Source organism: Homo sapiens, chromosome 7, assembly GCF_000001405.40.
Source record: "Homo sapiens chromosome 7, GRCh38.p14 Primary Assembly".
Lineage (NCBI taxonomy): Eukaryota > Metazoa > Chordata > Mammalia > Primates > Hominidae > Homo > Homo sapiens.
Window position 1 is genome coordinate 27882098 of NC_000007.14, and position 17263 is coordinate 27899360.

The window sequence follows — 17263 nt, forward strand, 5'->3', positions numbered from 1 at the left end:
AGAATGATTTGTCCTGGGGCCTGTAACTACTTAGAATACTCTGGCTGCCTTAAAATAAAACTGAAGAATTGGGGTACTGAGATAGAAAACACAGTACATCATGAGATCAGTAGATGTCAAATTCATATACAGTTGTCCCCCAACCAACTTTAGTTTCTTATGGTTGATTTTACCTATGTGTTCCATACCAAGCAGAGCCTAATTGGCTTGTTTTTTTTTTTTAAACAAAAAAACAAAAAACAAAAACTTATTCAGCCTAGTGGAATATGAAATAAATCTTTGATCTGATAAGATCAACCCAACTTGTTACAGCTAAATATGAATTAACACCAGTCCAATTTTCCAAGGAGGAACTATGTAATTTTGGTTGCAAGGTGCCAGACATGCACAATCTCTTTGTCCATGGTCCCAGAAAGGTTCTAGCAACTTCAGTTTCTTCCTGCCTGTCAAATACCACTTGTTCTGAGTGCATTTCCAACATCTGACACAAGTCCTGGGACAGGAGCAGTGAGATTCTGTCCCTTGTCTTTTTAGCAAAAACAAATTAGCTTAAAGCATTCTCAGTTTTCTGCAGGTTCTTTAATGCTGTGCAGCTGGGTGTGCCTGGGGATCATTTTATTGTTAAAACTTGAGCCACATGGAAAAGACATTAAAACAAGTTTGCCGCCGTGATACTCATGAAGATGAAAGGGCTTCTCTGATTTTAATATGCCGTGTTTTAGACTGGTGGTGGCAGGGACGGGGGTGTGGAGAAAAGGTGTCTTTGGAAATATATGAGTTTGTCTGGGCTGTGAATTCTTCAGGTGCTAAATCTACATCACCTTCACAAGGGAGGTGTATGGCAGTCTCGGGCGTCTGTTTGTTTATTCATATTTTCAGTAGAATCCACACCATTTTCCAGGCTTACAATATGTTGCTCTCTTTAGCACTCATATTTCAGTTCTGGTTTGTGCTTCCAAAGGAAAATTACTGAGAAGTGTGCACTGATGGATGTTGGCATATGAGTGAGCTCTGGACGTTGGCTTAAAAAGATGGCATTCTTTCTTGGGGAGACAGGGTGTGAACAGCACAGTCTTAATGTGTGCTCTTTAAAACAACTTTACCTTGTGATCTTTTTTGATATTTTTTTGGCCAATGCAGAGACCCCTGCTGGGACAAAGAAAAAGCAGCTAGGACCTAGGACCAATGCCTCACCACTAACCGTGTTTCTAGCACGAAGTGAAATATGGCTGTAAAGACCTTTGAGATTTCTTATGGGAATTCTTAACAGTGGACATACTATTTTTATTGAGTTTGATTAAACAACACAGTTAATAGTAGAGATGAAATTCAGGTTTTTAACTAAATGTAAATGGTCAAGTGTGGTATAGGATCACTTTGCATGAACATTATAAAAAATAACACAGAAACACTGAATTATTGGCTTTCTGTTAGTACAGATATTAAATCTGAGGATTTAAGTGCCTGCCCGTCAGAGAAACTGGACTACTTAGAGTTTCTGAGGATGTGCTCAACATGGACTGAACCTGGGCGGCTTTAATTTTCTTTCTGGTAATATTCTCAATGTAAGGAAGCACTCTTTATCTCATGGGAAACAAAACACTTTGGGTATTGGAAGACGTAGGTGCTGTAAGTTCTATCAGAAACACTTTCAGTCATTAACCAATTCTCAACTGTGTCACTGGACTGAGAGTTTGGCAACAGCCCTTCTTTATCTTTTCTTCTCTGCTCCTTCTCTCTACTTAATATGTCCCGTAACTGGTTTATTTGTCCATGTTACTGCTTCCTTAGTGTTGCCATGCTAAGGATGAAGAATTCCGCCTACTGTCTTTCTTCAATGAACAGGAAATTCCAGAGATTTTCAAACTCAAACTACTGCATGTATTTACTTCATTGTTCCTAAATGAATTGTTTATAAGAGCGGAAATGCTATTTGCTAGTTCAAAGAGTGACTGGAAGTTGTGGACTCCTGTTCTTCATTCCTGCCTGAGCAACCACTCTTTTGTTTCAATTAAGGTAAGATTTACACACACTGAAATGCACAAATCTTAAGTGCATGCTTGTTTTTTTCTGAGACAGGGTCTCACTCTGTCACCCAATCACAGCTCACTGCAGCTGCGACCTCCTGGACTCAAGCCATCCTCCCTGCCTCAGCCCCGAGTAACTGGGACTACAGGCATGTGCCACCACACCCAGCTAATTTTTTGATTTTCGTAGAGACCAGGTCTCACTATGATGACCAGGTTGGTCTCAAACTCCTGGGCTCGACTAATTCTCCCACCTCAGCCTCCCGTGCTGGGATAACAGGTGTGGGCCACTGCATCGGGCAGGTATATAATTGGATGAGCTTGATAAATGTATACATTTGTGAAACCAACATCCCAATCAAGACACAGAATATATCCATCACTCAAGAAAGTTCCCTTGTCCACACCTTCCTCCTCACATACTCAAGTTAACTATGGTACTGATTTCTGTCACTGCAGGTTGGTTTGCCTGTACTTGAACTTCATGAGTACCCTTTGTGTCAGGCTTAACTTGCTCAGCATAATGTTTTTGAGATTCATCCATTTGTTGTGTGTGTATCAGTACTTTCTTTTTATTGCTAAATTATACTCCACTGTCTGGATATATCACAGTTTACCCATTTATCTGTGGATGAACTACTTATCATTTTGGGGCTACTGTGAATAAAGGTGCTATATACATCCTTGTATCCGTCTTTTGTGGATACATGTTTTCACTCCTCTTTGGTAAATACCTAGAGTGGAAGTGCTGGGTCAACATCACTCAGCTCTGTGGCCCCGAGGAACCTATATCACACCTCTGTCAGTTTCACTCTCTCTGCCGGGCGGAGGGATAATGAGATCTGCTCCCCTCTCCCCTCAGAGCAGGTTTGAGGACATTCTCTGCTCTGCACAGGAAGGAGGGGAGGGAGTTTCAGAGACACTATAGTCAAAACTCCCCCGGTTCTAAAGACTTTGAGATGCCCTTTACATGGCCCCCTGACCTTGATTTAAATATTACCAGTGGGATGTTCAATTCTACACACCTTAAAGGGAATCTGAAATGTAAAAGTACCCCAAATTGGATAGCACAAAGGGGTGTCCCCCCATTCCCAACTGTGATGATGGCTGGGCCTATGTGGGCACATCCTTCAACAAGAAAGGGGACAGAGCTCCTTCACCAGTGTGTTCACCTGCTGGAAACATCCAGTGCTCTGTTTCTTAGTACTCTGAGTCTCCACATTTAAAAGGGTTATTGCTACCTTTACTAAAATAACAACCAGGATATAAAAATTGGTCAACTTGCTCCATCTTCACTTCTGCCACCCCTGGCTATAAAATGATAATCTTAAATGCTTCTGTGTTAATAACAACAGTGTCATTTCCCCCCATTTCTAAATTGGGTTGTCCTTTCATTGTTGAATTGTAGGAGTTCCGTACGTATTCTAGATATGAGGCCTTTATCAGACACATGGCTTGCAAATATTTTCACCTATTCTGATTGTTGTCGCAATTTCTTGATAGTGTCCTTTAAAGCACACACTTCTTTAGTGTTGCCGAAGTCCAACTTCCATTTTTTTTTTCCTTTGGTCCCACAGACACTTTAGATATAGTGTTTGTATCCATTCTGACAAGAAAATGACCCCATCTCCTTCCTGAAAATTTATCCATGTCCAGAGCAGTCATTAGCAAATACCACCTGTAATGCACATTCCTGGAATCAGCCTTCTCTGAGGTTAGTGCAGACCAAAAATAAACATGCACAAGCAGCCCTCGCCAGGGCTGGTGAAATATTGTCTGCCCAAAAAGGCTGGATTCAGCTTAGAGCAAAAAATGTTTTGATTTACATGTGCTATATAGCTATTTCTAGAAGCCCTAACTAACCTGACAACATAAGCCATTTCCACCATTGACAGTCAACACTTCCTGAACACATGGGGCTTATTTACTAATGCAGGGTATCTTGAAAGCAGAGCGGGGATATTCCTATGCTGATTTATTTTCTGAACTGGTGGTTTAAGTAGAATCAGTGTAAACACAGCAGTTGTTCCTGGCCCTATCCTTATTTTATTAATCCTCACAGTAAAGTAAACACTGCCTCCATTACACAGATGAGGAAACTGAGGCTTGAGAAGGTTTAAGTCCATCTGTCTCTCAAGCAGCAGAACCAAGAATTGGATCGAGACCCCTTTGGTGTCAAGGACTCTTAGCACTTTACTTCTGTGCTCCCAGAGTTCTGGAGGGTCTCCCAGAAAACTCTAGATTTGCATACCACCTTTAGTCAACACATCCAGGTCTGCTCACTAATTCCCTAACCTGACACATTCCATAATCATGGACTATAAAATTGTTTGCCCAAATCACTTTCCCTATGATCTCACCTTATTCCAACTCCTTTGGAACTTACATTTGCCTTGCAATTATCTATGACATTTTATGGGTGTGAATATACATCTTTTAATTGCATTGAAACAGCGTAGAATGACCCCATGTGTATCTCTATATTGTCTTATTAATCATCTGTGCTAATGTAGCCCATGTGTGTATACATCATGTTCATTAGTTGTCTGTTCCACAAGCATATGTTGCCTGCTTCTATTAAGGGATGTAAGTTCTAAACCACAAAGGCTATGCCTTATGCTTTTCTGTATCCCCAATACTTGGCACAGTGCCTTATAACAAGATAGATGCTCAGATAAATGTTCATTGCAGCACTATTCACGATAGCAAAGACATGGAATCAACCCAGATGCCCATCAATGATAGACTGGATAAAGAAAATGTGGTACGTATACACCATGGCATACTATGCAGCCATAAAAAAGAATGAGATCATGTACTTTGCAGGGACTTGAATGGAGCTGGAGGCCATCATCCTTAGGAAGCTAACACAGGAACAGAAAACCAAATACTGCATGTTCTTACTTATAAGTGGGAGCCAAATGATGAGAAAGAGCTAAATGATGAGAATACATGGACACATACGGGAAATTATACATACTGGGGCCTTTCGGAGGGTGGAGGGTAAAGGGTGGGAGGAGGGAGAGGATCAGGAAAAATAATTAATGGGTACTAGGGTTAATACCTGGGCGATGAAATAATCTGGACAATAAACCCCCATGACACAAGTTTACCTATATAAGAAACCTGCATTTGTACCCTGGACTTAAAATAAAAGTTAATAATACTTGCCTTGTGTCCCATCAAGTATTAACAAGGATCAAATTAGATGGTGAATGTGAATGCTGTTGTGCACTATAAGGTTAGAAAAAGATCTATTATGATTACAGATCACCACTGATTTGTATTTATTTATTTATTTATTTATTTGAGATGAAGTATCACTCTGTTACCCAGCCTGGAGTGCAGTGGAGCAATCTTGGCTCACTACAACCTCTGCCTCCCAGGTCCAACTGATTCTCATGCCTCAGCCTCCCAAGTAGCTGGGATTACAGGTGCGCACCAACATGCCTGGCTAATTTTTGTATTTTTAGTAGAGATGGGGTTTTGCCATGTTTGCCAGGCTGGTCTCGAACTCCTGACCTCAGGGGATCTGTCCGTCTTGGACTCCCAAAGTGCTGGGATTACAGGCGTGAACCACTGTGCCTGGCCAATTTGATTGTTTTCTTCAAGTCAAAAAAATGTTTTGTTTGGGAAGGTTTTTTTCTAAGTGGTATAGCTGTGGAAAAACAAATAAAATCCTATTTCCTTGTTGCCATCCTCACTCCAACATTTTCAGTAGCAAGAAGAGATTAAAAATAAGTGGCTGCAGAAGATGCTGGGGAAGCAGAATTAGCCATAAGACTCGACCATGACACTCAGGCAGAGGAATAAAGGTTTTTACTAGTCAATCAAAAAGGAAGAGGAAGAGACAAGGATTAGAACAGAGTAGTATATAAACAAGCAAATAAACTGTAGGCCAGGAAAGGGTCTTTCAGTGACCTACAGAACACAGGCGGAGAATATAGCAACATCTTCTCATTCTCCAGCTACAAAAGCGGGTATTTATGTGAAAAGGGAAATGTAAATCAGATCAATACGAAGATTTTAGGGAACGTTGCTTAGGTATCATGCAGACATCCAACTCTTTAGGGAGAATTTGTTAGAAAAACCAAATCACAGCCTCAGGAATTCATATCACAAAATTCAGTCAGGCTGAAGAATTTCACCTTTCTCCCCTCATTTTCCACTATTAAACAGAATAGTATTTCTCTCTCTGAGATTTTTCCTTCCATTTTGTTCTTTTCTTTTGCGTAGGTGGGAGATGTATGTTAGTTTATACTTTATTTTGGTTATCTTTTTTCTGTCTGGGATTTTTTGTCCTTACTAAGCCTATTTAAGTTTATTTTGCTTTCTAACAATAAAGGCATGAGGGAAGAGCTCACCTCAACTCCATTCAGATAGAGCTTCTAAATGCCAAGCAAAATTCTATCAGTCCTGTAAGTCTGTATTGCAGAGAAATGTCCACCCCAAGGGAAAAATACTATATTATTTAAAATAATTTGCTGTGTATTAATAACTCCTGAAATTTTCAATAACTTTATAATCTGAACAATTTATTGTAAAAGCCATAAAGAAATGTTTCTTAAAAGGCCATACCAAGATACACAGGAATATGAAGTAAAATAAAACAATGCAGAAGCTTAAATTTTATATTAAGAATCTAAACAAGAAAACCTAAAAATTGGTTTAATTTCCTTGGGTGCCTTTCTCTGGTTTAATACTTGAATTTTCCCCCCCAGAGTGCGCCAAAATATATATACAAATATTTTCCAGGAGTAACTATGCGATGCTATTAGAACCAGAAACCCAGCCAGCTCTTTCCATGGCTTCTCCATTAAGACATGAGTGAGCATCTGTCAGTCCCACTGGATTCATCCCGGAGGTCAAGGAAACGGATTACAGTAATCTTTCTCCAGACAACGTGGAATATGTTCAAAATTCAAGCTAGAAGGCACATAGATACTACAATGAGATGGGCCATGTTTTAAAACAGTGGTTTCTTAACTCTGGTTGTAGAACTACCCACCCAAAAGAGCTTTTAAAAACTCCCAATGCCCAAGCCCCACCCACCAGCTGAATCAGAGTGGCTGTGGGTGGAGCCCAGGCAGAGGTAGATTAAAATTTTTTCCAGGTGATTTCAACGTTCATCCTGATCGAAAATCACTGTTTTCAGAGGTTCAATGGGGAAATATGGGGGGAGGGGGGAGAAATTACTTTCTTAACTAAGCTGTAGGCAATAATAACCAAGACAACCTGCTCTCTAATGATGGATGCAAAAGCAAAAAGGCCTTTGCTATAGGATGATCCCACGTCAAAGGTCAATTAATTTGATGGAAAGAGATCCATTCAACTCTTTTTAGGGCCAGTAATTCTATATCTTCCAATCATATGTCCTAAGTTGTTTTAATTATAAAAAGAAAGACAAACTCATTTTAGAAAATATGGGAAAAGAAAAAGAAGAAAATAATATTCATCTTCCTATCATATTAAGGTAGTTAACCATGGTTAACTTCTCTTAAATAAAAGATAAAATTGAGATCATGGGCCAGGTGCGGTGGCTCACGCCTGTAATCCCAGCACCTTGGGAGGCTGAGGCAGGAGGATCACTAGAGGTCAGGAGTTCAAGACCAGCCTGGCCAATATGGCAAAAACCCACCTCTACTAAAAATACAAAAATTAGCTGGGTGGTGTTGATGCGCACCTGTATTCCCAGCTACTTGGGAGGCAGAGGTCAGAGAATCTCTTGAACCTGAAAGGTGGAGGTTGCAGTGAGCTGAGATCACACCACTGCACTCCAGCCTGAGTGATAGAGTGAGACTTTCTCTCAAAAAAAAAAAAAAAATTGAGATCATATTGCTTATGCAGTTTTGAAACTGGATTTTCTCGTGTAACAAGATAATTGTGGTTAGTGCCTACAAAGCAGTCCATTGCTTGAAATGGTCATTATTTATTTATTGGTGATTGACTTTAGGTTTATTTGCAGACACATGGATCCACGATTCCTTGACCTACAAACTAAGTAAGATTAATCTGGTAAATACTGAAAGGAAAAAACAGTGGTATAATGGTAAAGTGGGGCAGGGAAGGTCCTGATATGTAGCATTTGCCAATGTCACTGGTGTAAATACTCCCACCATGGCTGATTTCAAGGTAACAGTTTAGCAAACAGCTTGCAAACCTGATTATTTAACAACCGGCTATCTGGAGTCAGCTGACCCTTAGAGAAACCCTGGCTGAATGAAACTGTTAAGTCCTTCTGTTATGACATGCTGTTTGAATGGTAGAGCTGTGTGAAAATGAAAGTTACAGTGAATGAAGTCAAACCAAGGTTTCAGTAACTTAACATATTTTGAGTTTGGAGGTGTCAAGTTCACACACAGTGTGGATGGTATAATAAAGTTTAAAAAAAGTATTAATGTAATAATAATGAATGTGGATAGAAAGTGTGGGTATACTGGAAAGAGCTTATTCTTTGAATAGACAGACATGGATGTGTCAAGTTAACCTTAGTAAGCCTCTATTTCTTATCTGTACATGGGAATAATAATGTCTCAGTGAGGCTGGTGTTAAGATTAAATACAATGTCATACATAAAGAATACAGTAAGCACACACAGCAAACACTCCACAAGTGCTACTTGCCTTTCCCTCTAAGTAATTGTACTTTAGATGTTACTACTTTTTTTTTTTTTTTTTTTTTTTGAGATGAAGTCTTGCTCTGTCACCCAGGCTGTAGTGCAGTGGTGCAATCTCGGCTCACCGCAACCTCCACCTCCCAGGTTCAAGCAATTCTCCTGCCTCAACCTCCCAAGTAGCTGGGATTACAGGCGTGAGCCACCACACTTGGCAAATCTTTATATTTTTGGTAGAGATGGGGTTTCACCATGTTGGCCAGGCTCATCTCGAACTCCTGACCTCAAGTGATTCGCCTGCCTCTGCCTCCCAAAGTGCTGGGATTACAGGCGTGAGCGACCGTGCCTGGCCCATGTTACTACTTTTAAAAGGAGAAGGGTATGAATTATCTTAACACTTTATTTTCAGATAATTTAATCACATTTATTTTTCAATTCCATTTCTCTATTATGTAAACCAGGGGTTGGAAAACTGTGGCCTATGGGCCAACTCTGGCCTGTTTTTGTACATAAAGTTTTAGAAAAACTTTTAATAAAACACAACATGCCCATTAATTTAGGTGGTTCTATAGCTGCTTGCACATTACAATGGCAAAGTTGAGTAGCTGAAACAGAGACCCTGTGGCCTGCAAAGCATATTTACTATATGGACCTTTATAGAAAAAGTTTGCTGATCTATGATTTAAACTATTCTAAGCTTTTCTTAAATGAATACTTTTTCTATATATTAAAAGAAAAAAAGACAAGGATAGGAAAGGAAAACAATGAGAGAAAAAGATTCTTCTAGGATGTAAAAATGGCAAAACAGGCCATATATGGTGGCCCCTGCCTGTAATCACAGAGTTTTGGGAGGCAGAGGCAGGAGGATTGCTTGAGGCCAAGAGTTCAAGACCAGCCTGGGCAACATAGCAAGACCTCATCTCTACAAAAAAAGTCAAAAAATTAAGTGGGCATTGTGGCATGTGCCTGTAGTCCCAGCTACACAGGAGGCTGACGTGAGCTACACAGGAGGCTGAGCCCAGGAGTTTGAGGCTGCAGTGAGCTATGATAGCATCACTGCACTCCAGCCTAGGTGATAGAGTGATACAGTAAGACCCTGTTTCAAACAGAAAAGAAAAAAAATTGCAAAACAAACATTGATTCCAACTATACCTAAGAAATACTCGAAACTTTAGGATAAAGCTGAGCTCTAATTCAGTATTGTCAAGAAAGTATACCTTAAAGAACATTTTATAAATGAAGTTCCTACAAGATGACTATTACTTCTGAAGTGGGAATGCACCATGAATATAGAACTTGCAAGAGTGAATTTAAGGGGTAGAAATGTGGAATTTTATAACCTGGCAATGAAAGTGACTGAAACCACATTAGTCAGGCAAAATAAGCTGATCTCTCTAACTACAGGTAAAATAACATTCCAAACATTGAAAAATGTACACAATCAAAATTGTACGTGGTAGGGGTTTAAGAAACCATTTCCCCTGCTAATTTTTGATGTTTACATGGAATGTTCTTACAGCAGCAAATAACTTACCAATAATCTTGACAGACTGAAAATGATACATCTTTACCACAACATAAATTAATTCTCTCAATGGGAAATTGCTAAAATAGGCAAGGTGTCAGAAAGATTTCTTTATGTCTGAAGGAAGGGAAATGATTCCATTTCTTCCAAACATTCTTACATGAAAAATAATAAACTCTCACTTTTAAACTGTCTTTATTTTCATGGGGTCCTAGGCACCCGTCACTAATTGGGGCAGTCACAGTTATCTGGGGTTGGACATGAGTCAGTCCATATTACTTCAGGTATAAAACACAGCCAATGGGAAACTGTTCCCATAATTCATATTATATGTGAATAAGTATCATAGCAATACCCAGAAAAGAGGATTGCGGAATTACACTACACTCTCTTTCATTCCTTAGATTTACAACATAAATGTTACAAAAAGATCCTGGAAAGTCAATCTTCACAAAATAAAATATAAGGGAAACATGGTGGTCTATTCAAGGAAATGGACAAATGCCTAACACAAATGAACTGGTTTGTCCTCTAGAAGCATGACCTTGATTCTGTTCCTAAAATACAAAGTTGAAAACCCCAGATGAAAGAAATGAACATTTATTGAGCACTGTGTTATACATGTGCTATCACATTTAACTTTGACAAAAAATCTATATAATGGGTATTAGTGACTTGCCCAAGGTGACACCATTTGTAAAGAAAGAAGTTAAGGCAGCAACTCTGGTTTATCTCCCATACCTAATCTGTCTTCAAAATGTTCAATCCTGATTGAACACACGGTGTCTGTCAACCATGAGTCCCCTGAGATGCCCCATAAAGAAAGAGGTCCCCTAATCAGAGCAACTAAGTTTGGGAAATTTACTAAATCCTCCCCTTGGAGACTAACAGTGCATATTAAAGCCCCGAATTAAAGAAATCCATTTAACTTTGTCTAACTCATCATCTCCCCAAACTTACTAGGAAATCCCTTTTCCCCAACTAGTATTTTGTGAAGTTAGTATTCTGAAACACACTTTGCACAATGGAAAATGGATGACAGAGAAATACGTAAACTGTCAGAGAAGATAATTTTAATCATGGCTAAGGAGATGATGGTGTGGTTACAAGTGGGTTCTCTTTGCTCTTCGATTCAACCAAAATTTTGAATAAGACCCCCAGTGCCCTAGTCCCCGCCTACCTCCTCAGTCTCATCTTACACTCGGGCCACCTGGCCTTTCAGTAATGGGGACCTGCCAGGCTGTCCCCCTCCATGGAGCCTTTGCAGAATGTTCCCTTTGTGACATTGCTCCCCCTTTCCTCTTTACTTAGTTGACTCCTATTTATCTTTCAAAGGAAGCCTTTCCTGACTGGGTCAAACTTCTCTCCGGATGCCCTCCTATCACAGAATTCTATATAGCACTTGTCATGATTACAGGGTTATATTTATTTGCGTATTGATTTGATTAGTGACGGTCTATACTCCCACTGGGGGAAGAGAGCTATTTCTCTGTTTCTCAGACAGCACAAACATGCGGACCTCTTCCACCATCTCTATTCACTCCTGCCCAAGGAGGAACAGTGACTTAATGAAGCATGAACTAGGGAAGAAGGGCTGGGCACGCTCTGCTCAGGGTCCAGAGTGCGCTCTGGTCAGCTACCACCCTGGGGTAAGCTGAGAAGTGCACTTTGGGAAATAAATTGAATTCTGGGAAGACATACTAGGAAGCCCAATTGTTACAGATCCAAGCTCCATTCTGTGGTTTAGCTTTATGTAATAATACAGTTGATATTTTGTTCTTCGTCTATGACTGCTATTTTACTTTTTAATCATTTCCACACTTGGGAGAGGAAGACAAGAGTGATCTTGTTTGGCCCCTAGAATGCCAATATCCTCCAACAGGTGTAAGCTCCTGAGGTCAGGGCAGGGGGCCTCTCTCTGCTCACCTCAGTAGCTCAGTTTCTGGCACTTGTGAGGCATTCAAAATGCCATTTCGCCCAGGCTGGTCTTGAAATCCTGGCCTCAGGTGATCCTCCTGCCTCAGCCTCCCAAAGTGCTGTGATTATACATGTGAGCCACAGCACCCAGCTGAAGTTCTAGTTTCTTGAGACATGTAAGTCTACCAAGGTTTTCTTACTAATATTTTCTTTTAAACAACTGAACTTTGTCTTCAGATTATTATAGGCTAATCCTAATGTGGAACTGAGGATAAAGTTTTGAGCAGAGTTGATCCAAATCAATGAAGATGGTACCCTTAAAAGGACAGAAGCCTCTTTAAGGCGAGGACCTGGAGGAGAGCAGATGAGAGTGCTGGAGTAGTGCACATCCACATGTGTGTCAGGGAGACTGACGGGAAAGAGAAGGCAAATAGGAGAGATGGACTGGGAAAAATAAAATGGATTACTTGATTGGTGAATAGGTGGGTATAAAGAAGCAAATGAAAAAGCTAAATTGAAGGGCAAGTTTCCACTATCTATAGAAAAAGCTGGAGAAGACAAGGACTCCCCCTTCTTCTCAAGGTGTTGTAAAAACAATGAAGTCTCCTTGGAAGAAAAATTATATCTAAATTTCTCCAAGACTGCTTAATAAATTATGTTTTCTCTAAAGGATACAATTATTTTAACTGTTTTACAAGAGAAAACGTTCATAATATATTTAGTTGTAAATCGGGTGATGAAATATGTATTACAGAGCCCATTAAAAATGTTGTGTAGATGGGTATGCATGGTAAAAATGGGAAATATATTGACAAAAAATCTACAAAACCATTATCACATGCATATTAACAATAATCTATAAATATTTCTTCAATAATAAATTAAAGAATTTATCAATATGTAGACTAGTGAAAGGATCAACGATGTGGTGGGTCTGTGTCGTCATCTGTCCCCAGCCCCTTTCTGCCCCCAGCACATCACACACACTTTCTCTTTCTCCCCTCTCCTCCTTCTCAAGGCGGTAGGGCCAGGCCACTCACCTGTCGGAGTGCTGCTGCGGAATGAAGAGGAGGGGGTGATGGGTGGGGTCACGGGGGGAGTAAGGCTTCCACTGCTGTGGCGTGGGGGAGTGGACACATTCCCTCGAGACACTGAGCTGGACAGAGTCAGCGAGAGCTTCGGCTGAATCTTCTTCTTTAGGGACTCCTGCTCTCGGCGGGCAGCATCTGTCATGAATCTGAAACAATAATGGAAGGTAAGGAACCTGGGCCATGTATAGAGCATGAGGACTGATGACATTTATTAGAGTTTCAGACATGCACGACCCTGGAAAAGGACCTTGGCCACAGGTCAGTCCCAATCTCAAAAACTCACAACAGCTTCCCTTTTCCAATGCAATGGAATTATCTTCTAGCTTGTTATTTTTAAGGTTTCTCAAAGTCAGGTCCATTTCTTACCCAGCAAATCCTCCTTGCCAGGAAGCTTATACACACAGAATACATCTGCACCCACTGTAATACTTTCAGTTACAAGACTTCCTCTCTTGGAAGGTCTGCTCTCTTTTTCTACCCATAGGAAGCCCACACATCCTCAAAGTTCCCCAACCACTCCTAAGTAGACAGTGCTTCCTTTATCTGCAGGTTGGCAGTATTTCTTCTTTGTACCACTTAACTGCCATCTAACATAAATGGCCTCATGAAAACTTTTTTTTTTAAATTTTTTGGTATTACTTTGATTCTCATATTGTTATTTGGGTTTAAAAACTTTTCTTGGCTAATTGAGTCCTTGCTTCCCTAGTCATGAAGGCAAGGATTCTAGTCCCCAGTTCCTAGCACAGGGCCAGGCCCACCTCAGGAAACACAGACAGAACTGCATACATCTGCCCAGGAAGATTCCAGAAGAAGGGAAGAGAGCAGCACAAGGAAGGAGGTCACCACTGATGATTTGTTTATGTTCTAATTTTATTACTCATAAAGAGAAAGGTGACTTTTCCTGATAGTTTCACTTTGGAAACTTCAGTTATTCTTCCAGTGCTTCTCTGATGTTGGTAATATTCAAACTTTGTTCTTTTCTCACTGTATAATCTACCATTTTGTAAATTCCTGTAATATGAGATTCAAAACAATCTATGAAATGGTATCTCCTACCTAAAGAACATTCACCTTTTCATATTGGCAGGCAAACTTTGTCAGCTGCATTTTTGAAAATTGCCATAGAAAGCATAGTCCATAAATGTATGATAGCGTTCAGATGATAAAACCACAGCTGTCCCCACCACCTAGGCTAAGAAACAGAACATTCCATGCCCCCCAAGGCCTCTCTCCAACACCTCCCGCATCAATTATATTTTGACTATTTCAATATAATTTATCATAAGCTCACTGCATTGCACTTAAACATGGTATTTCACCTAACCTATTTCACATTTTGTCTACAAAATTCCTTAGTATTTTTCCTCACTACACAATGAAGTTTTGGAAGTCAACAGATAGTTCTAATACCTGGCGAAAGCTTGAAGTCAATTAAACACCCAATGAAACAACAGTAATACTGTTACGCTGTCTTAAAATTTCTATTTTTATACTTGGAACATGGATGGCACATTTCTTGAATGGTTCTTGCAATATAATCCAGATATATAAACTGGATTTTATATGCTGAACTGAGCTTAGTAATAAAGCTTTGCCTTGAGCTCTTAGGTTTTGTGCTATAGGATAGTGATGATTTAAAAAGAAGAAAGGAATGTCAAGGCAAAAGAGAATTGTTTGCACCTGGTAGCCAGGTAGGTACTCATTTATCTTCAGATGCAAAACTGGTTCTATTGTCCTTAAACTTCTTTCCCTCCGCCTCATAAACCTCTACTAAAAATACAGACTCACAGAGAAAAGCAAAGAACTAGTGCTTTTTTTTTTATTATCCTAAGAAGAACTGCTAACTATCATGGTGCTGAGCTTCTCACACTGGGGTATGCAGTGCGCCAGGGAGTGGCAAAGCCACAGGATAAACAGGCTGCTGCTTCCAGGAAGGCCGATTGTTCTCGAGGGTTAAGTAATTCAAACTAGTGTTTCAAATAGCAAAATAAACACGGACATGCTTATGGGGGTAGAAAAAAATGTTTACATCTTGCATTTTAGTTAAGAGCATGGTATTTGGAGTCAGGCCGGGGTTCAAATCCTGGCTGGGTTATTATGTAATTTGAGGCAAGTTGATAAACTTCTCTGAATCTCAGGTTTATTCTCTGTAAAATGGGAATGAGAGTAGGTAAGGAATTAACGTACGTCTTTTCCCTTTCTACACGGGAGTCTGATCTTTGGCTACATTTGGTAACCTGCTAAAAGAGTGTGTCAACTATGTTACTAGGCAACACTATCTACGTAAGAATGACCTCTGACTGGTGAACTGCACAGCCTGGAGGATCTAGGAACCTGTAGCTATCTGATAGGAAGCCAAGAATCCTGATTTGGACTTCCCGAGCGTGGTGATCTTGTAGCTGGGCATGGCCCTTGCACAGAATGGGGAGCTATGCCCAGAGCGTGTTTCAAGAGCTTTGGCTCCTATGGGGCGTGAGGCTCTTCTACCAGGATAGCTTCCACTCCTACCTCTCTGCACCTGAACAGACTCCCACGTGCACTGCTGCAAGGGTGCCTGCAGAAGGCGACTTGTCCTCCATCCTCTGAACAGACCCAGTGCCCTATGTGGCCCACGGTCATCTGTGAGTCTGAATGTTCACAACCTAAGAAGGTGACTTGTTGGCAGACGGGGCAATAACATTTCAACTTCAGAGGACTGTTGTGAGAGTAAATGAGGTAATTGGCCTGTCATGTACCAAGTGGCTCAAAATGCAGAAGCTGTTATTAATTACATAAAGCATTATTATATCGTTATGTCTCTATATTTTGTCCACCTTACTCAACTCCAAGTGTCTTGAGGACACACCACACACCCATGGCTCTGAAAGCACTGAGCACACACGTGCCTCGTGTAGAGCAGAAATTCCGTTTGTGGAATGGCTGAATGGAATAAACCCAGAGGGTGCATATCCAGTGTAAGAGACAGAGGGAGAGACAGCCAGAGGCAGAGAGAGAAAGGCTTCTCTACGTCTAACTCATATATATATATATATATACATCGGTTTTTTTTTTTTTTTTTTTGAGATGGAGTCTCGCACTGTTGCCCAGGCTGGAGTGCAGTGGCACGATCTCGGCTCACCTCTGCCTCCTGGTTCAAGCAATTCTCCTGCCTCAGCCTCCCAAATAACTGGGACTACAAGTGCCACCACCATGCCCAGCTAATTTTTGTATTTTTAGTAGAGACAAGGTTTCACCACATTGGCCAGGCTGGTCTTGAACTACTGACCTCAAGTGCTGCACCTGCCTCGGCCTCCCAAGTGCTGGGATTACAGAACTCATACCTCTTGTTGTAAAATACTCTCCTACAGCTCAGATATAACACAACAACTATAAACAACCATAACAACATTCACACACACAAACCCCACCTTCACCCTCACATGGGTTTGGCCAGCTACAGACAGCAATCTGGATTGGGGTTATATCTTCTATAGTGCTTTCTAGAAGCAAGAACAAGGCACCCATGTTAAAAGCATTAAACATGAAACACATTCTTAAAGCCCTGTCGCTAAGACTTCCTCCTGCAGTTCTCCCTCCTCTCTTGGTGTTGTGAACTTGGACATACAACCTATAAATCATGGTAACCTTGACATACCAAGGTACACAGCTGCACAATTTGTTCTAGTGACAACCATACACACACACACCCACACCACCCGCCCCCACAAACACACACAGGAATGCCACACAAACGCTGTGGGAACCCTGGTTAAAAAGGGCCCGTGTCTCCCCTGCACTAGCATGCTGCTCCTCTTCCTCCTCCCTTCATTAACCATGACTTAACCCATTTTCTGAGACTTAATTTAGTAAGTAAATTCTCAAGTTTTTGAGCAATGTTCCATCAGCACAGCTGTCTGTCAAAAGGTGGGCAGATTCCTAGTGGCAAGGAGCCATTTGGGGAGACAAAAGTGTCTAGAGAAGCCAAGGAGGCACAGCAAAGGCTGTGATTCTGGCCAACAAATGAGGACTATGTTCCCTGTTTCACCAAATATCAGGTCTGGAAAGATTAACCGTGTTGCCAAGGCTGAGTTCAGGTTAAGCAAGTCATGTG

At 40.8% G+C, this 17263-nt stretch overlaps 1 protein-coding gene across 5 annotated transcripts in view; it reads right to left on the reverse strand.

Moving 5' to 3' along the window:
* Positions 1 to 17263, reverse strand: part of JAZF1 (JAZF zinc finger 1) — a 350219-nt gene that overhangs the window by 51521 nt on the left and 281435 nt on the right. For all 5 annotated transcript variants that reach the window (NM_175061.4, XM_047420026.1, XM_047420025.1 and 2 more), the window contains one exon: positions 13123 to 13319. In NM_175061.4, coding sequence (NP_778231.2) covers positions 13123 to 13319 — 197 coding nt within the window. The remainder of the gene's footprint in view (positions 1 to 13122; positions 13320 to 17263) is intronic.